The 23,173-nt window shown below is 55.0% G+C and overlaps 1 protein-coding gene across 2 annotated transcripts in view, besides 2 other annotated features; it reads left to right on the plus strand.

Annotated features, from left to right (window-relative positions):
* TAFA5 (TAFA chemokine like family member 5) overlaps positions 1-23,173 on the plus strand; it is a 262,380-nt gene that overhangs the window by 190,839 nt on the left and 48,368 nt on the right. The window lies entirely within an intron of this gene.
* Positions 20,784-21,291: an enhancer, noted in NCBI's record as "H3K4me1 hESC enhancer chr22:49096987-49097494 (GRCh37/hg19 assembly coordinates)". NCBI's record gives its function as "activates a minimal SCP1, AML or CMV promoter by ChIP-STARR-seq in naive H9 embryonic stem cells {active_cell/tissue: H9 hESC(naive)}" and the evidence as "EXISTENCE:reporter gene assay evidence [ECO:0000049][PMID:30033119]".
* Positions 21,292-21,799: an enhancer, noted in NCBI's record as "H3K4me1 hESC enhancer chr22:49097495-49098002 (GRCh37/hg19 assembly coordinates)". NCBI's record gives its function as "activates a minimal SCP1, AML or CMV promoter by ChIP-STARR-seq in naive H9 embryonic stem cells {active_cell/tissue: H9 hESC(naive)}" and the evidence as "EXISTENCE:reporter gene assay evidence [ECO:0000049][PMID:30033119]".

Raw genomic sequence — 23,173 nt, forward strand, 5'->3', positions numbered from 1 at the left:
TGCCCAGTCCCTGCTGCCGGGGCCCTGTGGCATTTAGTCTCCATTCAAGTCCAGGTAGCCCCACAGCAGGAGAGAAGGGCGAGGGGGCTAAGAGGTGACGGCAGCACACTGAGAGGGGCCACCAAGAAAGGGAAGTGGGCACCCACAAACACAGAGGATGGGGAGGCAGGAGGAGCTGAGGGACCCCAGCACTGCTGCTGCCCCTGGACAGGGCAGCCTCCCAAAATTTGCCCACCACGACTGGGCACTGACAGCCAGTGTGCCAGGCCCCTTGTGCATGCCAGGTCTCTAGGGCAGAGGAGGACTGAGGATGTGGTCCTCACCGTGGGAGGTCCTGGTCCAGTGAAAGAGGATCCAGATGTCCTGGCTCTTCCCACTGCAGCCGCCTTGGGAGCACAGTGCTGCAGACACCTGCACCTGTGCCTGCTTCACTCCCACTGTGCCACCGTCCAGTGCTGGGCCGGGCACACCAAGCTGTGTCGGCTCTCATCTTAGGGCGCCCGGGTGGCAAGAACTGGGGAGCATGGAGAAAAGGGCCCCCAGGCCCAACCTGCGCTCCCACCACGGCTTCTGGAAGGATCCTAATCTGGCTCAGGCTCGCTGGAAACCTCAGACATGTTGCCTAAATTCTGAGCATCCATTTTGTTCTCCGGGGCCCTACCTGTCAGATTCAGTGGATTGCTCAGAATATTAGTGGATCCTGGAAGACATCGTGGTGCAGCATGCAGCACTCGGAGGCAGGGCCTGAGCCACGCTTATCCCTGAGCACATCATGCTCAGAGTTGTAGGGAGAGGCAGCCCCTGCCCATCGCAGCTGTAACCAAGGAAAGCACATCCAAATGCCTGGAACCGAGTTTCCCCCCAATTAGGAGAAGCACAGAAAATGAGGGGCTCCAACCCGTGAGGACACGCACAGCTCAGCAGTAGAGACGCTCTCCTCATTTCAAATTGTTTAAAAACCAGAGATGAGGCCGGGTGCGGTGGCTCACACCTGTAATCCTAGCACTTTGGGAGGCTGAGGCGGGTGGATTGCCTGAGCTCAGGAGTTCAGGACCAGCCTGGGGAACACGGTGAAACCCTGTCTCTACTAAAAAAATACAAAAAAAAAAAAAAATTAGGCGTGGGGGTAGGTGCCTGTAATCCCAGCTACTTGGGAGGCTGAGGCAGGAGAATTGCTTGAACCTGGGAGGTGGAGGTTGCAGTGAGCCGAGATTGTGCCACTGCACTCCAGCCTGGGTGACAGAGCAAGACTCCATCTCCAAAAAAAAAAAAAAAGAAAAGAAAAAAGAAAAAAACAGAGGCAAGAAGTTTCCAAGAGAGGCGCTTTCCCTGATTCTCAGACAGAACACACGTGTAGTTATTTAGTTGAGTTAGAAGATGGGGTCTGTCCTTCTTGCACACACTCCGGATCCTGGGGTGTTGTCCACATGTAGACTCTCCCACTCCTGCTTGATCAAACACCAGCACCCCGTCGTTGGGGGCTGGACATTGAGGGGAAATGGCCTTAGGTTCTCGCACAGATCCGTCCACTGTCCTAGGAGCTGTGGAGTCTTTGCGAGGGTACGGGAGCTCCCCGTCAAGCAGACGTTGTTGTGGACTCACTGGAGACTCGGGGCCTCCCAGGGCCTGAGGCTGCGGCTCCCCAAGGCCGTCCTCAGCTTCCCATCGATCCCATTCGTGGAGCACAGTGGGTGTTTGATGACAAATCACAACTTCTGCACCCCTGTGGATGTGTTCAGAGGATCCAGAACTCTGTCCTCCTGCTCCAGGTTGTGGCCAGCAGTCTGGGCTCCCTAGACCAGCAGCTGGCAGGAATGCCAGCCCTGCCACTCTCCAGCCTCAGGAATGACCTGACCTTAGAACCCAGGGCTTCTCCAGGTGTCCCCTAGAGCCGTGATGATGAGGGGATGAAATGGCAGATGGCACCTGGGTGAGACCCCCACACCCAAGGGGCTGCAGATGAAGGGGTTGGGGCAGAAGGGGTACAGGTGGCTTTGGGAACATCTGCCCCTCCACCCAGAGCCCCCTGAAGTTGCTAGTGATGTTGATACATATCATCGTGAGCTTCTGTCCCCTGGTGACCCCACGTCCCACAGGACCAGGCTGAGGCTGAAAAGAGGTCTTCTTGACATCCTTACCAGCGGTTGGTCAACTGTCCCACAAGTTGGTGAAAGCAGAAGACCCTGACGTCATTTGCATATAACCCAGAAGCACAGTCATTGTCACTGTATTGACAAAACCCTGACAGCATTTGCATATTACCCAGAAGCACAGTCATTGTCGCTGTATTGACAAAAGCCTGACGGCATTTGCATATTACCCAGAAGCACAGTCATTGTCGCTGAATTGACGTGTGTCTGGATGAGGCCTTTGCTTTGCGGGTGATCTGTGGCTTGGTGCTTTCGTCGGTTTTTTTTTGTGCGTGTGTTTATTTCTAAAGCCAGGCTCCTAGTTATACTTGATGATTTCAAGGTTGTGTTTCATTACAGTGTGGCAGGAAGGCTTGACACGCGTGGAGTCCCCTGGCAGTTTTTGACTTTTGATTTCCGTCTCTCCCCTTGTCTTGACCACACCTAAATTCACAGCAGATTGTTTTTTAGAAATGTACTCTATTGCATCTTTCGGTAATATTCAGCTAGTGTTCATGGAAACAGCTCCTTGCTTGCTTTCCACACTTACCTTCCGTTGACTTATTTAATTCTACTTAAGTTATACAGTCCCGGTGGCAATACCAGCTACAGGGTCACAGCCAGGTTTCGGAATAGACACGGCTCTCTTGGTAAACGCACACACACAGACACACACACACTCGGGGCACAGTGATGCAGGAGTGACCTCGGACAGGCCCGGATGTTCCTCCCACGTAATAAAGACTTTCTTCAAAGGCATTACACACAGACGAGAGTGCTGGTTAATAGCTTAACGCCATAAGCTAATTAGCTGGGGGCCGGTGGTGAGAGAGCGCCAGGTACGGCACTTGCTGGGCACTGTGCCCTTTCATCAGCCTAACAGCCCAGTGCTCAGTTGCCACTCCTCTCACCTATTTTGCTTTTAGAAGGTGCTGTTTGCACCCTTCTCTTCAGATGAGGCCAAGAGGCTCTCTTGGCCAAAGTGAGTTTACCTGAAGGGACGGGCTGAGGCCAGAGCCAGGTCGTTGGGCCACAGACCGTGCACTCGCTGGTTCCTCCACGGCTCAGGAACAGCCTCCCACTGCCAGGACAGCCTAGGAGGCTGGGCCAGCACCTTCATTCAGTTCAACGCTTTCTATCACAGAACTGTTTTGAAAAAATTGCAAACTTTCAAACTTGTCATTGGCAATACGGTTTGGCTCTGTGTTCACACCCAAATCTCATGTTGAATTGTAATCCCCACATGTCGAGGGAGAGAGCTGGCAGGAGGTGATTGGATCATGGGCGCGGTTTTCCCCATGCTGTTCTCATGACAGTGAGTGAGTTCTCACGAGATCTGATGGCTTAAAAGTGTAGCCCCTCCCCCGTTGCCGGCTCTCCCTCCTGCCTCCATGTGAGACGTGCCTGCTTCCCCTTTGCCTTCTGCCATGATTGTAAGTTTCCTCTGTGGCCTCCCCAGCCATGAGGAACTGTGAGTCAGTTAAACTTTTTTTTCTTTATAAATTACCCAGTCTCAGGTAGTTATTCATAGCAGTTTGAAAACTGACCAGTGCAATCAGTTTTATGATTTTCCCAAGGCCCCGAGTCTCCTTACCATGGAGTGAGCCGTTACCTGAATTCCAGGCAATGGTATTTTCTTGGGAGGGGAGTGAGCGTTCGGAAGCAGAAGTGCGTGGGGATGGCTTGGCTCTGCCGTCCCTCAGCCCTTCCTGTCTCCTGTGGGATCAGGGGTTTGCTCACAGGACGGTGATCTTTGGAGGCTTTGTGGGGTAGAGGGAGGGCACTGTGTTGAGAGGCACTTGGAAGTAGGCAGAATTGAGCCCAGGAGGAGAGGAGGCAGCCGTGAAGCGTGATTGGCCTTCCCAGGGAAGGGCGATGGAGTGACTCAGAACTCCCAGCAGCTGTCCCATAAAGCCTCCACATCTCATGATGTGACCTAACCATGGTCTAGAAGTACAGTGACCCTTCCCGTTCACGAGGCTGGACACCCAGGACTCAGGTAGGAACAAGGTTGATGCTGCCTCCAGAGCAGACCAGCCGCAATTCAGTCACTGTGTGCACTGTGTCACCCTGGTAAGCACCTTGGCCCCTTTCAGATTCTCCAGGCCTCCCCACACTCCTGCCCGCTTCCCAGGATCTTTGAGGTTGTCAGCTGGGACAGGCAAGTGCCCAAGGCACTAAACAAAGACTGAGGCTGTGTCTGGGTAAAATCCCCCAAGAGCGGCTGAGAACTCCAATTCCTTGGAAATACAAAGGTTTCCATGTTTCATGGTGACCCCAGGGCCCGACCTGCTCACACGCTGTGCCCGGCACTTACCTCTCGGGGTGCGGCTCCCAGAGGAGCTTCCCAGAGCTTCCCTGCTGATAGGCTGTGTTGACCAAGAAGCCAAACTCTGTAAAATATTTAAGGAGGTTTATTCTCCGCCAGTGACCATGGCCTTGGGTGATAGTCTCAGGAAGACCACGTGTGCCTGAGTTGGGTTATAGTTGGTTTTATACATTTTAGGGACACAGAAGTTACAGGCAAAGGCATAAGTCAGTGCACTTAAGATGTACGTTGGTTTGGCCTGGGAAAGGGGAGATCTCCAAGGTGGGGGCTTCCAGGTCATAGGTGGATTCAGAGATTTCCTGATTGGCAATTGGTTGAAAGAGTTAAGCTTTGTCTAAAGACTTCAGAAGTCAGTAAAAAGGAATGCTGGAGTTAAAATGGGAGGTTATGGAAGCCACAGTTCTTATTATGTAGATGAATCCTGTAAGCAGCAGGCTTCAGAGAGAATGAATGTCTCTCCTAGGACCTTAAAAGGTGTCAGACTCTTAGTGAAATCTCTCTTGGATCCAGGAAAGACCTAGAAAAAGGAGATGCAAATTTTCCTCACAAGAGACGGCTTTGCAGAGCCATTTCAAAATATGTCAGAGAAATGTTCTTTGGGGTAAAATATTTTGATTTCCTTTAGAGCCTGCTATGTGTCATGTGATGCTGCACCAGAGTCAGGTTGGAATTTGGTATCTTATTGCCACAAATTATCCATGTTGTCAGTCTTATGATCTCTCTTTTAATGATACTGCTGGTCAGTGGGGCCTAAACTCCAAAAGGGAGGGGGCGTATTGAGGGGTGTCTAATCTCCCATCCCATCATGGTTGGGAATTCAGTTTGTCAGATTTCTCTGGGCTCTCCTTGGCCTATGGGGGTGTCTGTTCAGTTGGCTGGGGGGCTTAGGGTTTCATTTTGGGTTTACAGCTCTCTGCCAGTTAGAAAACACCCCATTCAGAGTCCTTTGCATGTACACCTGTTGCCGGCTGCATCCATCACCACTGGTCATCCTTCCTTGTGGTTCCAGAAGCTAAGAGGAGGGCAGGGCCTGGAAATGCAGATGCCTTCCCTTAGTACACACAGGCCCCACGTGCGCCCCGGGAGTACACACAGGCCCCACGTGCGCCCCGGGAGTACACGCAGGCCCCACGTGCGCCCCGGGAGTACACGCAGGCCCCACGTGTGCCCCGGGAGTACATGCAGGCCCCACGTGTGCCCCGGGAGTTGGAAGGGGTGCTGAGTGGGGTCAGCACAGGTGGCCAAGGTCACTCCCACTTCTTTCAAAGCTCCTTCCAGCGGGCAGGTGGAGGAGTTCCTTGAACTGTGGGCAGCAGGCAGTATGGCGTCTGAGGCCGCCAGGGGTCTCTGCCCAGGAGGGGAAAGGAGACAAGCCTAGGTTTCACTGTGCCTTTGTCTGCTATGGCTGCTATAATGGAGTGCATAGACAGAAATTTGTTTCTCACAGCTCTGGAGGCTGGAAATCTACGATCATGGTGCCAGTAGGGTCGGGTTCTGGTGAGCACTCTCTTCTGGTTTGCAGACAACTGTCTTCTGGCTGTGTCCTCACATACTGGAAAGGATGAGGGGCCTCTCTCAGGTCCTTTTTGTAAGGGCACTAATTTCACTCATGAGGGCTCCACTCTTATGGCCTAATCACTGCCCAAAGGCCCCACTTCCTAATACCATCACTTGGGGTTTAGATCTAAACATCATAATTGCAGGGGGGCACAGAAGTTCAAACCATAGAACGTGATGCTCAGGTGTTTGGATGTTTGGGTGAGTGGATGGGAGAAAGAATGGATGGATGGATGGACAGGTGGATTGATGGATGGTGGGTAGATGAATGGATAGATTGATAGAAAGTGGATAGGTTGATGGATGCTTGAATGGATGGATGGATGGTGAATCGATTTTTGAATGGATAGATGGGTAGGGGATGGATGGATGGATGGATGGTAGACAAGTGGATGGATGGATGGATTGGAGGAAGGATGGACTGATTGATGGATGGATGGATGGACTAATGGATGGATGGATAGATGGAGATGATGGATGGATTGATGGTTGAATGGATGGATGGATGGATGGATGGATGGATGGATGGATGGATTGGTGGAGGGTGGGTGATGAATGAGTGAATTGATGGATGGGAGGATAGATGATGGATGGTTGGATGGTGGACAAGTGGATGGATGGATGGATTGATGGAGGATGGATAGATGGATGAATGGATTGATGAATGGGTGGATGGATGGATGGATAGATGGTGATGGTGGATGGATGTTTGAATGGATAGGTGGATAGATAGGTGGATGGATGGATTGGTGGAGGGTGGGTGATGGATGAGTGGATTGATGGATGGGAGGATGGGTGGGTGGTGTATGGTGGATGGATTGAGTGGATAGATAGATGGATAGGTGGATGGATGGGTGGGTGGATGAATGGATGGTGGACGGATGGATGGGTGGATGGGTGGGTGGATGAATGGATGGTGGACAGGTGGATGGATGGATTAGTGGGTGATGGATGGATGGTGGATGATGCATGGATGGTAATGGATGTTTGAATGGATAGATAGATGGGTGGGTAGATAGATGGATGGATTGGTGGCAGGGGTGGGGGGGCATCTGTGGATGGGTGGATGGGGGATGGCTAAATATTTCCTGAACCTAACTATGAAGCCTTCTGTGAGCCTTGATGGATCCAGGTCCTAGTGAGGGCACCAGGTTCCCTGAGAAGGCAGTCAGAGTTCTCAGCCTCCGTGTTAATTTTGCCATGGCGAGTGCCTCCCCTTGAGGCAGTGACATTCCACTTGTAAACAGGACCATCCCTGGGAACTCTCCCCTCCTCACTCTCCCAGTGACAGATCCACAACCAACAGCACCCAGCTCCATACACACCCTGCTGGCCTCAGGTCACCTCCCTAAGTGCCCCACCTCTGAGGGGGGAACATGTAGCTGCCCCCACATACCACGACCCACCTTCCCTGGGCTGCCCCAGGCTCCCTGAGTGCGGCTCCACCAGCACTTAGCGCCTGGGACCTCCTGGAACCAGACAGGAGACACTTTCCTTTTTGGACATTAAAATTAAAAACTGCGGCTGCCTCTCCTGTCTTCTCTCTTAAATAGCTTCTGTCAGTTCGTAGGAATTTGCCTGAGGAACATGATTAGAGGGTTTTTTTTTTTCTTCCACTTACATGTCTTAATGAAATAATGAAACAGGTAGCTTATTACAGTTGGGGTTTTTTATTGTTTTTTTGTGTGTTTTGGGGTTTTTTTTTCCCTCTCTCTCATCTAATTTGATGACCCAGACTTGGAGGGTTTTGCACTGGCGCACCCTTCATAAAGGGAGGCGTTTCCATTCTTGAGCGTGATGGGGACAGTTCCTGGAGCTAATGAATCACTCTAATCAGAGAGCCATCTTGAAAATTAATACATTCTACTGTAACTATTTAAAGAAAAAATAATTATCAAGACTGTTCCCACTAAATTATGCTGTCTAGAAGTTGTAGAAAGAAAATTTTATCTAATTTTAAGATGTAATCTGGGTTTTGCAGATTTTTCTTTTTTGAGTGATTAACAGATCAGCACTGAATAGCAAGGACCAGAGCACGCTGCCCTTTTCTCAGTGTTCTCCTGGAGTCTTGTCTTGTGTCAGCCTCATGCACCCCAAGGCCTTGGCCCTGTCTTGGCTCCTGCCCCCTGAGGGCCAGATCTTCAGGCCTCTTAACTCCCCCTGGCTGCTCGGGGGACGGTGGCTTTCCCTGGCCGGCTCCTCCCTGGGTTCATTTCTAAGTAAGCTCCTTGCTTAGCTGAAAGGAGAGTCTTGACTTCCCAGTTTCTGAGAAACAGTGTGTCCTGATTTAACAAAAAAAGAGGGCTGGGCACAGTGGCTCATGCCTATAATCTCAGCACTTTGGGAGGCCAAGGCTGGCGGATCACCTGAGGTCAGGAGTTCGAGATCAGCCTGACCAACATTGTGAAACCCCATCTCTACTAAAAATATAAAAAACTAGCCAGGTGTGGTGGCGCATGCCTGTAATCCTAGCTACTTGGGAGCCTGAGGCAGGAGAATCACTTGAACCTGGGAGGTGGAGGTTGCAGTGAGCCAAAATCGCACCACTGCACTCCAGCCTGGGTGACAGAGCAAGACTTGTCTCGGAAAAAAAAAAAAAAAAAAAGAGAGAGAAAACCTTTGTTGATGTGCTGCAGTTTAACTGCTAAGCACAACATGAAATGGCCTATGTATGTCCTTGGTGTGGGTCCCTCCAGCCTCTGCACCTGCCTCCCAGGAGGACCCCGTACTCACAGAAGTCTTCAGCTGCAAATGTGCAAGATGGCTAGAGCAGTTAGGGAGGCGCGGTTTTCAAAAACGCGTGGAACCCTTCCTCTGGTCTGCACGCCGTATGCAGCGGGGAGTGTGGAGCAGATGGACGTAGACACGTTACCGGGTCTGACCCCCACCCCAGAGATGGGGCGCCTCTCACCCACCTGCAAACCCCACATCTCGGGTCCACATCTGGAGCACCCCCGTCTGCCTTGTCCTCAGGCTCTGAGTTCTGAGAGGGATTTAGCGATTCCCTGACTTGGGACACGTTCACCCCAGAAAAGGCCAGCCTGTACCCTCAGACCCAGGGCCAGAAGCACAGGGTCGGGTTCTGACGCCTGAGGAACCTGCGCAGACTTGAGAGCAAGTCCTCTGGGTGGAGACAAAGTGGTGACGTGAGATGTTGCTCAATCTTGAGGCCCTGCTGCTTTACCGAGTCTGAGCCGATGTTATTCACTGGCTCTCAGTTTGGGGTCCTAGGTCACCCGTGTAGCCCCTCGGGCGGACAGACTGGCCTGTCCCCCACCCACTCACCCCAGCTCCCTGGGCCAGCCCAGCTGTGCTTTCATGGGGCTGGGGCCAGACTGTGCAGGAAAGAGCAGGTTGATGGGCTGGTATCATTGGCATAACAGGTGAGGGGGGCCACAGCCTTGGGCCTTCCTTGCACCACCCTCTTTCCTGTCCCCGGTTGGTGTAAGTGTCTCTGAGCCTGGCTGGGTGCTTCCCTCAGTCACTAGCAAGGTCCTTGCTGCCCCCAGGAGCCAGTCCCTCCAGGATGAGGGATACGGCAAGGGAGCGCTCCCTGTACACCGCTCTGCCTTGCAACCTCTTCCCTGGTGGCCTGGCGTCCATCACAGGTGGCCTCACAGCACTGGGGGAGGTGGGCTTGGCTGGGGTCAGTGGATGTGGAGATGTCCACCCTGCCCTGTGGCATCAGCTGGAGGCCAGGGGCCTGTGCTCCCCCCACCCCTCCTGCATGGAAAGATGCTCATAACTGCATTTGTCCTCAGCCTGCCAGGCAAGGGGACGGGGCTCCCAGCGGGTTCCTGGATGTGACCCTTCTCCCACCCCATCTCCTTGTGTTCACACAATGACCCCTTGGCCCAGGTGGTAACTGTGTGCTGGAGACCCACAGAGAACCACCTTGAGTGGACTCCACATTCCAGAAAGTGGGTCTGGGTGTGATAGGCAGGTGTGAGGGCCGGGGCTATGGAGGACTGTGGCTCTTTGGGACGTGTATCAGCCACACAGCCGTACCAGGGCCTGTGTGCCCAGTGTGCAGCCTCCACCCTACTGGCCTCTCCAGCCCCTCCATGCTTGTAGCGAGATCCCAGGTGCTGGCCCTCCCACAGGCTTACAGTGATGACCAGCCCATCGCCAGGGCCAGGGCCCCTGCATCCTCCTGCAGGCCCTTCCTGCCTGCTGTGCTGTCACCCTCTTATCTTTGTGGGCAATTCACCCTTTAAACCTCATCTCTTCTAGGGAGCCCTCCTGGCTGCCCTGTGGACTCCCTCTCTGTAGTGTAGCATCTTGGACTGATGTAATCAGAGCTCTTGGGGACAGGCCTGTGTCCCTCAAGCTGGACGTGACCTGAGGCACACGGAAAGTACAGCCCCAATGAGTGGCCTTGGCCTCTGCCCAGGAGGCTGTGGGCTGACCTATGTCAGCCCAGGCTTGGGGGGCCGTGCTGCCCCCGCCCCCTGTCTTCTATGATGAGTTGATCCAGGCACAGAGCTGCCTGTCGTGGAGGGAGGACGCCTCGCCTCCTGAGCTTACCCCACATCTGGATGGGGTCCAGAGAGCGCCCACAGCATCTGCCTGGAAGCAGCTAGGTGAGCATCAGGAAGATGCTTGACCCTCCTGAGCGCCGTCAATCTCCAGTGGTCAAGGAGACCCGCCGTAAAGCAGGAAGCACGAAGCCAGTCCCTGAGGCCGCAGCGGCCGGTGAAGTCCCTCCATACCTGAGGCTCCCAGGCAAGCCTCAGGGCGGCCCGGGGACCATTGGTGGTCAGGGGCTGTGGGCTTCCTAAGCTCAAGCTGGCTCGGGTGCGAGGTGCAGGGGCCACTTCTGGGCCCCTTCCCTTGTTTGCCAAGTAGGGAGCCGCCTCCTCTCGTGGCTGTAAGGGTCTGATGGAAGGATGGGCGGGGCCGTCTTTCCAAAGCCCTGGGACTGCTGCTGATGCAGATTTTACTTCACGTTTGACATTTTTGGTATCGTCATCCTCCCGGTCTTTACTGAGTAACAAAACCAGCAAGGCCTAAGAGGGAAGATGGAGACGTGGCCAGGACAGGGTCGCCTTGTGTCGGGCACCAGGACCGCAGGTGAGGAGGCAAACTGGGTTCGCCTGTGTGCTGAGCACCCAGGGCAGATGCAGCCTCGCGAGGAACGCAGCCTGGAGAGGCTCACAGTCGCAGTGGCATGGCTGGGCAACGGAGGACGCGCCAGGAGCAGGCTCTTCTTCTGCCCCTGCTGCAGGCGCTCAGTCCTGCCATAATCTGGGAGGTGACCTCTGCTTTTCCCCACCTGTGGACCCTACGGGGCGCCTGCCCCTTGGCAGGTCTGCTCAGGAGGAAGGCCAGGTGTCTGGCTCTCTGTGCTGGGCACATCCGGGGAGGGCCCCAGGCGGCTGACGTTGAGTCTCGTGGGATGGCGAGGTGCTGCCTGTGGAGACTCGGGCCCCAACTGTCTGGGCCCTCCCAGGTGTGCTTGTTGGCTCCCAACTGCTTCCAGGAGGTCCCTGTCACGGGATCCATCCTGAGACAGCCCCCCTTGGATGGACTGAGCTGACACTAGGTGCCCTGGAGGGCTGAGTCGTCCTCCAAAGGGGCCTGTGCCACCAGCTCCTAGGGCAGGAACACTGGGTGCCTCCTTCCTGTCCCCAATCAGAGAGGCCCTGGTTTACTCCTCCCTGAACCTGGGATGGGGCAGTGTGCCAGGGGGAGGAGGCTAGGGTCTTCCTGGGAAGACACCGAGACCTGAGCCCTGGCCCACCCAGGAGACCCTCCCTTCCTTCAGCAATGGCCTGTGGCCTGAGAGCTGCCTCCAGCCTGCAGGATGTCAGACAGTGAGACCCTCAGAGTGCAGGGAGGGCTGCAGTAGGTCAGCAAATGGGGCTGCTGAGAGTCAGGGGTCCGCTGCAGCCCTGGGCCCCTCCCTCCTTGCTGTCAGGCTTAATCAAGGCAGCTGGGACTGTGCTCATGGGAAAGGCAAGAAGCATATTTTGGGACCATTAGAGGCAATTTTGTTTACCTGATTTATTTTAATTTACTTAATTGATTTAATTTTTTAAGAGACTGAGTCTCGCCGTGTTGCCCAGGCTGGTCTCAAACTCTTGGGTTCAAGTGATCCTCCTGCCTGGACCTCCCCAATTGCTGGGATCACAGGCCTGAGCCACCATGCCTGCCCTTACCTGGTTTTTGAAAGAGGATTCAGTCATAGCCTGACAGTCTGATGAAGGTTAAGGATATGAAATGAATCCCATAAATGATGATGGCAGTGGCAGCAGGGCACAGCAGTGCTGTAGGATGGGGAACTCCGCAGAGCTCTCCAGCATGTGGAGTAGTATTTAAAACGCATACGTATCTAGACAGCCTCGTGACGGTGTGCAGGTGGCCATACGAGGGGCGTGTTCCCAGGAAGGTCAGAATGGGAAGCAGCCGTGTGTCCTCAGTCACCGACCTCAGGCCCCGTTGGGCCCAGGCCAGGAACAGCCCAGAGCTTGCTTGGGACCTCAGGAGCCCCTCCCAGGCCACCTCAGGGATGGGGCACCGTTGAGGCAGGAAGGGCATCGGCGGCGCCTTGGGCCCCGTCATCTTGAGAACAGTGTAAGAACTCCGCGAGCCCGTGCTCACTATTCACAGAACTCAGCAGAACTCAGCAGCGTGTTTGTCAAGGGCACTTACTCAGGCCCAAGGCCGTTGGAACGCTGCCCTTCGACCCTGTCCGCCCACTCGGATTCCCAGTAGCTGAGCGCAGGACGTGACCTCGAGTCGAAGCCTCTGCTGGAAAATACGTCCTTGTCTGCCTGGAGGGGCCTCAGTGACGGGGCCTCACTCGTCCTCAGAGCAGCCTGGCAGGATGAGTCCAGAGCCATGAAAATGCTCAGACCTTTTCATCCCATAATTCTGCTCCCAGAAATTTGCCCTAAGAGAGTAATTGAAAGGAAGAGGGAAAAACCAGGAAAGCACAAACACCCGAAATGTACCACCACCGGGAATGGCCAGGTGAGTCGGAGATCCGTGCGCGTCATAGTGCAGCCCGTGCAGGCAGTAAAGGAGGGACTGCGACTCTTGCAGATGGCTGTGACTCAACCATGGGTAGATGAGGAAGCATAGCCTGAGGTCCCAGAGGAGACCAGCAGGTGAGGCCCGCAGGAGGGGCGGCTGGGCCTGGAGCTCAGGGAACTCTGTTCCCACCCCTGGTCCGGCTCTGGGCCTTGGTCCTGTTTTCTGCCTTCGTCCCGTCCTGCCCCGGGCCTTATTCCTGCTCTCTCTCTGTCTCAGTCCCGCACCACACCGGGCTTTGGTCCTGCTCCAGGCCTCATTCCTACTCTCTCTCAGTCCTGCTCCGGGCCTTGGTTTCTGAGGGCCTCCCCCAACCCTCCAGCCTACCCTGGGCTTTGCATCTTCCAGGCCACAATCCTGACCCAGCTGTGGGGTGTGGTCAGCCATGGCCACCTATACCCATCTTACTGACTATGCCATCTCAGATGGACGCAGCTGACAGATGGTGCCCCGGGTGTTTCCGCCGGGTGGGGAAACTGTGGGGTCCCCTGCTCCAGAATGCCACCCTCCTGTCTTCTGTAGACGATTCAGCATCTCCACTGGGCTGTCGGCTTCTCCTCTTTCTTCAGGAAGCCCGTGGGCCCCTCTGAGGTCCCTGCCCACAGGCCACGCGGAGGCTGACTGCATCCATGTTCCAGCATCACCGCTTGTAAGCCGTGTGACCTTGGGCAGACTTCTTGAGCTCTCTGAGCTTCTGTGTCCTCTTCTGTAATGTGAAGATGAAGCTAATTGATTCCCCATAGGTAGAAATCAATAATAAAATTCCAGTAATAAATGAGCATACCAGTCCCTGGGAGGACCAGCAGGGCGGCCCTGACAGTCGGCAGCTGTCCAAGGGCCCCAACGCTCAGAAAGCTGGGGAAAGGGGTGGTCAACATTAATACACACAAATACGTAGAAATGACTGTGTGGCATAGCCCCAGGGAAGGCTGGCACTGCTGGGACACCCTGCGCGTTTCCTGGTGTGTCTGGGCTCTGACGTTTCGAGTGGGGCCCTTCCGGAGTGCAGGAGGCTCTTCTGGAGGTGTGGGACAGAGACTCCTCCCAGAAACACGGGCGCTTCCCAGCCAGTGCTCTGGGCCTGTTTGCCTTTTCCTGAGCCCTGAGCCCAGGAAGCCCGGCTGTGTCCGCTCACCCCAAAAGCCTCCTCCCTGCCCCATGTGCTGGTCACAAGTCACCAAGCCTGTGGGTATCTGGTACTGCTCCCGGGCAGTGCCTCATCTGATGTTCTCTGTGTCCCCGGGCCACAGTGCCCTGGCAAGGGCTGACCTACAGGGGGAGGCTGCCTGTGAGCAGCTCCAAGACCACCAAGGGCTGCCCACCGCTCAGACCTCCTCCCCCACCCCCCACCGCTCCAGACCTCCGCCCCCACCCGCCGCCGCTCCGACCTCCGCCCCCACCCCCCGCCGCTCCAGACTTCCACCCCCACCTGCCTGTGAGCCTTCCTGCCCCAGGCTGGGACCACTGGGGAGGTCAGGCCTCAAAGTGCTGCCTCCCATCGGGCAGAAACGGGAGCCCTGAGCCCTCCTGTGAGCTTCAAACGTGCCCTGCAGAGATGGTTTCACAGTGACCGTCCTCAGTGCCTGTGTCAGGACTTACTGCCTGTGGGTTCTTCTGTGGTACCTCTGAGATACCCCATTTCCATTTGACTTCGTGAGGCCAGGTGGTGTGTGTGTCTTTGTGTGTCTGCATTGAGTGCTTGTGCATTTGTGTATGTGTGCACATTGTGTGTGTGTGTGTGATTTGTATGTATTTGTCTGTATTAACGTTGCCCACTCCTTTTCCCATGCTGTTGATTGAATCCTCCATCACCAGCCAGATCTGGGAGACTCGAGGGACACTCTTCTGGGTGAGACACTGCCAGGGAGAGCAGCCTCCCCAGCTCAGACAGCTGAGATGTGTTTCTGACGATATCTGAGTAAATGCCCAAAGATTTCTCCTGGAATCTCACTGGTTTTGTTCTGGATGATTCATTTTTCCAAGCTGTTGAGTACAGCAAGCAACTCTGTGTTAATGGAAATGAGGAAAGTTTATTGCCAAGGGAAGCCTGCCGTTCATGAGCACCTCGGGGCTTGGGTGTTGAGCTGAGTAATGTTATGGCCACGGTCTCAGGCAAAGGAGCACCACTTGTGCCTGTCTGTCTGTTCCCCTGGAGTAGCCAGCATGTTCCTCCCTGTGACGTCAGACCAAGGAACAGTCCTATGGACAATTGGCTTCTCTTCATGGGTTTCATGGGTTGTGTGGTTCTCAGGTTTGGGGGTGGGCAAGGGCACCTGGCCAGGGTGTGGGCAGCAGGGGCACCTTCCTGAGCTGCCGACTCTTTGAGAGATTGGCTGGGGCTTCCTGGTGCTGGAAAAAAATAGGCGGGCCCTCTGGCGTCACCAGAGTCCTGGCGAGGGGAGTCAGCGTGGCTGGCTTCAAGTTCTGCATACAGCATCACTCAGTCCCTAGTGTAGGGCTTTCAAGCACCACAGGGCCACACAGCCATCCTGCTGACCACCACACAGACAGGACGCAGAGGGTCAGCACTCGAGAGCATATAGGCTGTTTGGGACTTCGATGAGCTGGGTCAACTGGGGTCCACTCAGACCCTCAACCCCACCTGCCCCGGACCCCTGGTCCGTAGAATTCAGAGGCATGTGAAATCAGAGCTGTACATCCCAGTCTCGGGGTTCGATGGGCGGGTGCCATGGGAGAAGTGGCGCAGGCTGCCCACCCTCAGACCCCTGCACACCCACACTGAGGCTGGGGAGGAAGGAGACTGTGCCAGCCACCCGGGCCTGAGCTCTGCAGACGCTGTGGCTTTGCGCATTTCTCAGCACTCTGCGTTTATGACCTTTCCGGCCAGATGTAGCATAGCAGGTGCCTTCCTGTCCCTTCCTATCCTCCCTCCACTCTTCCCTCTTTTCTCACTCCTTCCTTCCATCCTTCCCTCTTCTCCTCACTCCTTCCCTCCATCCTTCCCTCCTTTCCTCCCTCCCTCCTTTCCTCAGGAACTTTGAGGGGCCCCTGAGTGCCCTGCCCAGGGACAGGAGGTGAAGGTGAAGGTCTGGGGCTTCAGATGCCAGCACTTCCTCTTTGACCTGCAGGGGGGTCCCGGAGTGAATGGGTGGCAGCCACCTGGGCTCCCATTGGAGGGCGGAGCTCCCCCCAACTGCAGAGCTAGGTTCCGGAGAGGGGAAACCCTGAAGGATCCCTGCAGGTGTCCAGGCAGCTGATGGCTGGGGTCTGACACCCCTTCACCCCCATACCACTGTTGCTGTCCTTGCTGCCTTCAAAATCTCTCAGCCAGGAAATGAGGGTGGAATGAGGTTTGCGCCTGCAGAGCCACCTCTGAGCCCAAACCCTGTGCTACATGAGACGCAGGTTGTGTGTGCAAGGCCTGGCCTGCATCATTCCAGCTTCTAACCAGCACAGCACAGTCGCGCAAAGGCCCTAGGATACGAGGAGGGAGCTCCCGTCTCAGGGAGACCGAAAACCTCCCTGGAAATCCAAGACTCCTTATTGGAGCCCCAATGGTAGCATGCTAGCTCCCCTGCTGCTTGGGTTAGATGAGAAACCAGGGGCAAAAGGGCTTCCTTGAAGGGATGGGGAAGATGGCGTGCCAGGCACATGTTCCCTGGGCACAGGGATGGAAGTTCTGAGCTGTAATCTACTGGGGAGGATCCAAGAAGAGAGGAACCTGGACTGGAAAGAAGACAGGCCACTGGGGTGCAGTTAGGGCTTGCTTTATTATCCCTCTCTGAACCCCAGCATCCTCATACCTGAAATGAGCTAAGGATGAGAGCCTTCACCTAGAATTGCCATAGGAATGAGGGCAGCCATGTGTATGGCACAGGAGGGAGGGAGTCACTCCAGGTAGCTGCTGACGATGGAGATGGTGGTTATGGTGACAGTGGTGATGATGATGATGATGATAATGATGACGATGATGATGGTGGTTGTCATGATGTGATTAGGGTGATGGTGATGATGACAAGGATGAGGAAGATGATGATGAGGATCAGGATGGTGGTGGTATTTATGATGATGGTGATGTTGGTGATGGTGATAATGAAGGTTATGATAATGACATTGATGGTGATGGTGACAACAATGATAATCATGGTGGTGATGGTGGTGGTAGTATGACGGTGATAATGACTGTGATGTTGAGGATGGTGGTGGTGATGATGGTGATGAAGACAGTATGGTAGTGTTGGTGATGATGGTAATGGTGATAGTGCTAATGGTGATAATGTGATGGTGATGATTACAATTGATGATGATGTTGGTGATGGTGATGATCATGGTAGTGGTTATGATAATGTGATGATAGTAATGACAGTGATAAAATGATGATGGTGATGATGATGGTGATGATGATGAGATGGTAGTGGTGGTGATGTTGGTGATAGTGAGGATACCGGTGGTGGTTATGATGATGATGGTGATGGTAATAATTGTCATGATGATGGTGGTGATGACAATATGATGATGGTGGTGGTGGTGATGATGTGTGATGGTGAGGATGATGATGGTGATGATGGTCCTGTTGATAGGATGGTGAGGATGGTGAGCATGATGGTGCGACGATGATGGTGAAGATAATGGTGGCGATGGTGGTGGTTAGGATGATGTCATAATGATGGTGATGGTGATGGTGGTGATAATGGTGGTGGTGGTGGTGGTGATGATAGCGATGGTGGTGGTTATGATTATGTGATGGTGATGATGATAGTGATAGTAGTGATGATGGTGGTGATGATGATGGTGACAATAATGATGGTGATGATAATGGCAGTGGTGATGATGATGGCCCAGGCAAGTGGATCACCTGAGGTCAGGAGTTCGAGACCAGCCTGGCCAACATGGTGAAACCCCATCTCTACTAAAAATACAAAAATTAGCTGGGTGTGGTGGTGCATCCCAGCTACTCAGGAGGCCAAGGGAAGGGAATCAGTTGATGATGGTGATGGTGGTGATGGTGATAATGATGGTGGTTGTGATGGTGGTGGTGGTGATGGTGATGATGATGATGGTAATGGTAGTGAAGGTGATGATAGGGAGAGCTGACTGAGCTGAGCTGGGAGAGAGGAAGCTGAAGCACAGGGTTCTACCCATGATGGGAGGGATGCCAGTGCCATGCAGGGAGGCTGACCTGAGTGGGGCACATTCCTCAGGTGTCGTCTTGAACAGAGGCTCCCACCTGTTCATAGGAGCATCCCAGGAGCTGAGCAAGGATGAGTATGTAGATTGAGGGTGCCTGGGGGTCAGGGGGAGGTCCTGCGAGCTTTTCTGGCCCTACAGCGGGTGCCTCCTGGCCTCCCTTCCGCAGCCTCGGGGTGCAGCCCGTCTGGGCTCTACAGGCCCCGTGCGTGGCCGGGGCTGTGCGCTTACCTGCGAGAGACCCTTCCAGCCTGGCCCTGCAACAAGCTCCAGCACTAACTGTGCCTCCTGCTCTACTGACCAGCCCAGAGCCCTGTTCCTCAGACCTAAGTAATGTGGCAATGCTTTTTTTTTTTTTTTTTTTTTTGGCGCGACCAAGGCTCACTCTGTCCCCCAGGCTGGAGTGCAGTGGCATGATCTCGGCTCACTGCAACCTCTGCTTCCCAGGTTCAAGTGATTCCCCTGCCTCGGCCTCCTGAGTAGCTGGGATGTACCACCATGCCCAGCTAATTTTTGTATTTTTAGTAGAGACGGGGTTTCACCATGTTGGCCAGGCTGGTCTCGAACTCCTGACCTCAGGTGATCGACTAGCCTGGGCCTCCCAAAGTGCTGGGATTACAGGCGTGAGCCACCGTGCCCTGCTGACAACGCCTTTTAAGGGAAAGACCCACCCTACTGTTGACCTTCATTGTTCTGATTACAATGTTGCAGGACTATGAACGCACACAAAGCTGGGAGCCCTTACCAGGCGGTAAAACTGGAATAAACCAAATAAACTGAGGCCTATTTAAAAGCAAACACAAAACAGCGAAACCAATAACATTTAAAGTTGCAGCACGCGTTTTGCAGGGCAGATGCTTCTCGGTGACAGGGCACTGGCAGTGAGCTCCAGGGTGGAGAGATGTACCTGCTGGCTCTCCGTGTGTATACATTTCCCCGCGTTCCGTTCAGTGAGCTCTGCTCTTACATACTTAAGGACGTGTCGCATGAAGGCGTCTTAATAATCACGTGGCTTTGTTTGTTGTCATCACGCCTTATATTTAACCCAGAGCTCTCCTGGAAGGCACTTTTATGAGCGGGTTCCTGATAACTTGCCTAAGATGTCTCTTTCGGGTGAAGACAAGCTTTGCCTTGCAGCGTGAGTAAGCGGAGCTTTAAACGGGAATAATCCAATTATTGCAGCGACTGCGAACAGAAGAAATGTTCATTGCATATTTACTGCTGCACTTACTCCTGATGAACTGCTCTGAGACGGGGAGAGGGAAGGCGGGAAGCACACACAGTGTGGCCCTGGGTGCACCACCCACAGCCCCAGAGAGCAGCTCGCACACCCCACTGACACATTGAGCTCCTGCCTCTTCTTCCTGTTGGAATTTACACGGGGTATTGGGAGTGGATGGGCCTTTGCTGGATGTGATGTCTGCATGAATGTGCACGAGTACACGCACACACCATATACACACACACACACCCCACCTCACACACATGGGCCCCTGGGACAGCATTTGGAAATAAGTGTCCCTCCAGATCACACTTAAGACTGTGCTGGATTTGGTCACAGGGCTGCTGGATCCCGAAACCCTTCTTTCATCGAATCAGTCAATGTTCCAGAACAAGTAACTCGTGTCCCAGACAGCTGCCCCTAGGAACATAGGAGGGGGCTGGGGACAGCAGAGGTCGCCTTCCAGCTTCAGGGCAGGGGTGCAAGGAAAGGAGCTGGAAGCTAGCAGGTGGGGTGGGGTAGGCATCGGCCTTTCCACACACACTAGGCCGTGAGAGCCTGACCTCGCCGGGGAGAGTGTACCCAGGTACGACTAGAGCTCCCGGGGCAGAGCAGGCCGGCAGGGGCTGGGGGAGAGATCCTGAAAAAGAACGGTCTCAGGATCCAGCAGCCCTTTGACCAAAGCCAGTAGAGTCTTAAGGAGACTGGGGTCTGGGGGTGCCCCTTGGGTAGGAAAGGAGGGGAGCGGAAGCGGGCCTGGGTTTCTTCTCCCTCGGGAGTGGGGGTGCCACTGTGACCTGCTTCTTGGTACACGTGAGTGTGCACGTGGATGTGCATGTTTGCCTGTGGGCACCTGTGTGCACGCACTCCAGGGGCAGGGCTCGTCCTGTCTGCAGGCCGGATGAGAGCTTGTCTGGCAGCTCTGAGATCATCACAGGTTCTCAGGACACTCAGTAGCAAGAGCCGTCCCACTTCAGCAGTTCAGATGTTCGATCCTGTTATAGCAAACAAGTTCAGATGTCTGATCCTGTATGGCAAACAAGTTCAAATGTCCGATCCCACGTAACAGACACACCCTGCTGGATTTTGACGGTACAGCTCCTCCCATGCCATCTGCCCAGCCCTACTTCAGGCTGAGAACCCCACTCAGCTGTCTGCTTCTCGTCCCCCAAGTTCAGGCTGGGGAGGAGAGGATGGGAAGAGCCCTCTGGCTGTTACTAGAAGCACTGCCAGCTGTGGAGAGGCCCGCAGCCCTTCATCCCTAGGGCCTGGTACAATGGATGTGTATTTGTCCCACTTCAGTGGGTGCCCGAGGCGGCACACAGCTCGAGTGGGTGTCTCAGGACCGGCTCCTTCCATCCAGTAGAGGACATGGGGCAGAGGGTAGAGGCCCCTGTCTGCAGAGATGACCTTTGCAGCCGGACCTAGAGGTGGCTTCCACCCTCCCTCCACCCTGCATGCGTGTCCTCCAGCTGTGTCTAGAGCTGTAGATGCAGGCGTGGTGAGAGGAAGCTGGGTGGCAGCTCCCAGGGAGGGCTCTCCTCTAAGGCACTGGTGTGTGTCCCCACACTGAGGACGTGGCACACCCTCTCCTGCACGGGTCCACCCAGGTGCTGTGGGCCGCCCTCCTGGGACCCTGCCTGCCCGCTGGGAGTCGGCGCAACCCTCAGCTGCCTTTCCTAGGGTAAACTTTCCTCCCAGGCCTTTGTGTAGATGGGGTTTTTGAAGTCCCCTTTAACTCGGTCCCTGTCACCCAAACAGCCACACTGTTCTGTCCTCAACTCCATTCAAGGGTCGCCCAACCGTTTTTGGCAAGTTGGACTTTCGGCAAATTGATTGGGAGCCTGAACAAGGCTGTGCGGAGGACCTGTGGCCAGCCAGGCCCCGCCCACATCTCAGCCCTTTCTTCCCCATGCTGTTTGCAGGGTCACCAGGCCTGCTCCTCTCGGAGACTTCAAGGAGAGCCCGGCTCCTGCCCTCCCCTGGCTGCCTCCCTCCCCTGAAACACAGTCCCAGCCCGCACTGGGCAGCGTCCTCTGCGCTCTGCCCTCCTGGAGCCCAAGGTTTTTATGCTGCCACTGACGAGGGTCTAGGTGCAGCGGCTGCGTCATCCCGGGGACTGGGGGGCCTTGGAGCGGGAGCTGGCCTCTGTCTGGGGAGGCAGCTTGAATGTACACACAGAGGGGACCTGGGGTGGTGGAAGGAGCCAAGCCCTTCTGTAGACCTGGGGACTCATTGCCAGGGAGCCAGGTGGCCCCGGGGATGATACGCATGTGTGGTTAGTCTGCAAGAGGGCACACAGTGGACTTGTGTGTGAGTGTGTGTGTGTGCGTGTGTGCGTTTGTGTGTGGACATGTGGCTGAGTGTGGTATGTATGTGTGTGCCTGTGTCTACATATGTGAATGGCATATATGTACGTGATGGAGAGCATGGTGTGGGATGGAAGATGGGGCTGACTGGCACCTTAGAGAAGTGTTTCCAGGCAGAGAAAGAGCACTGCTGGCCCAGGGCCTGGCTGGGCTGGGACTCGGGGGCTGTGGGGTCCTACAGAGGCTTGAGATCGGTGAGACTCTAGATCCAGTCTGGACAAACCCACTCTGAGACGCACTCCTATGCCCCCTTTCTATCCTAGGCAGGGGCTCCCTGGCTCCCTTCTCCAGCCACGTCCTAAGCACCTGCTCCTACCGGCCCGGGGACAGGCACTGCAGACATAAATACGCATGAGACCCTGTGCCCTTTACGCCCCGTGCCCTTTACCTGTCGTGTGCTCAGGACCCCCCAGGTTAGCCCCTGTGGATGGGTAATGACGTTTGTCTGCCCAGAGCCCACGTTTCAGTCACCGTCACTCACGCTACCTCAGGAAGCTCTGTCAGCCCCTGGGCACGCCGCTTCCCTTCCCTGAGAGCTATTGCAACATTGCGACCAGAGGGGAGGCCTCCTCACCCGAGCCCGGGGAAAGGGAGTTGTGAAATGTATGCTTGAAAGGCCCCTTTGTCCCCGGGACATGGTGGCCCGGCGCTGTGCCTCTGACCGTCTCCAGCAGGAAGTGGGCTGGGGTGGGTGAGCCCAGCTCCTGCCGTCAAACAAAAGGTGTTGTGTGCTCAGGGCCGGCCCGCTGGTGCCCTCGGGAGGGCCAGGCCCAGGGACGGGGCAGGCCTGCTGCCTGCTTGTCCCTTTGTTCTGCAAATGCTGAGAGCAGGCGAGAGTGTACATGTGGGTGCATGTGCAGATACATATCTGTGTGTGTGCATGCATGTGTGTGCGTGAACGTGTGTGCATGTGTGCGTGTGTGCTGCACCTATAGATACGTGTTTGTGAGCATGCATGTAAATGGGCATGTGTGTGCCTGTGTGTGTGCCTGCATGCCTTTGCGTGTGGTGTGTGGTGTATACATGTGTGTGATGTGTACGTGTGTGTGTTGTGTACATGTGTGTGTGGTGTGTGGCCAGGCATGGCAGCTACAGCATAGGCAGGGCTGGAGCCACCTTCACCAGCCTAAGTCCCCCCGGACCCCGCCGTCCTTCCTTCTTCTCCTTCAGGTGACCCTGAGCACCACCGTGCATAGTACCACATCATGTCTGGCAGGGATGAGGGTCCTTTCCGTAGACAGCCAGTGGGCTGGGCCCTGGCACTGGAGAGGGTGTGTGTCCAAGATGCTGAAAGCTGGCACATCACCCCAGATCCCTCCCCCATCCTCAGCCCCACAGTCCCAGTGAGCTCTGGTGGCTTGCATCCTAGCCTGACCGAGAGGGC

This window comes from Homo sapiens, chromosome 22 (assembly GCF_000001405.40).
Source record: "Homo sapiens chromosome 22, GRCh38.p14 Primary Assembly".
Lineage (NCBI taxonomy): Eukaryota > Metazoa > Chordata > Mammalia > Primates > Hominidae > Homo > Homo sapiens.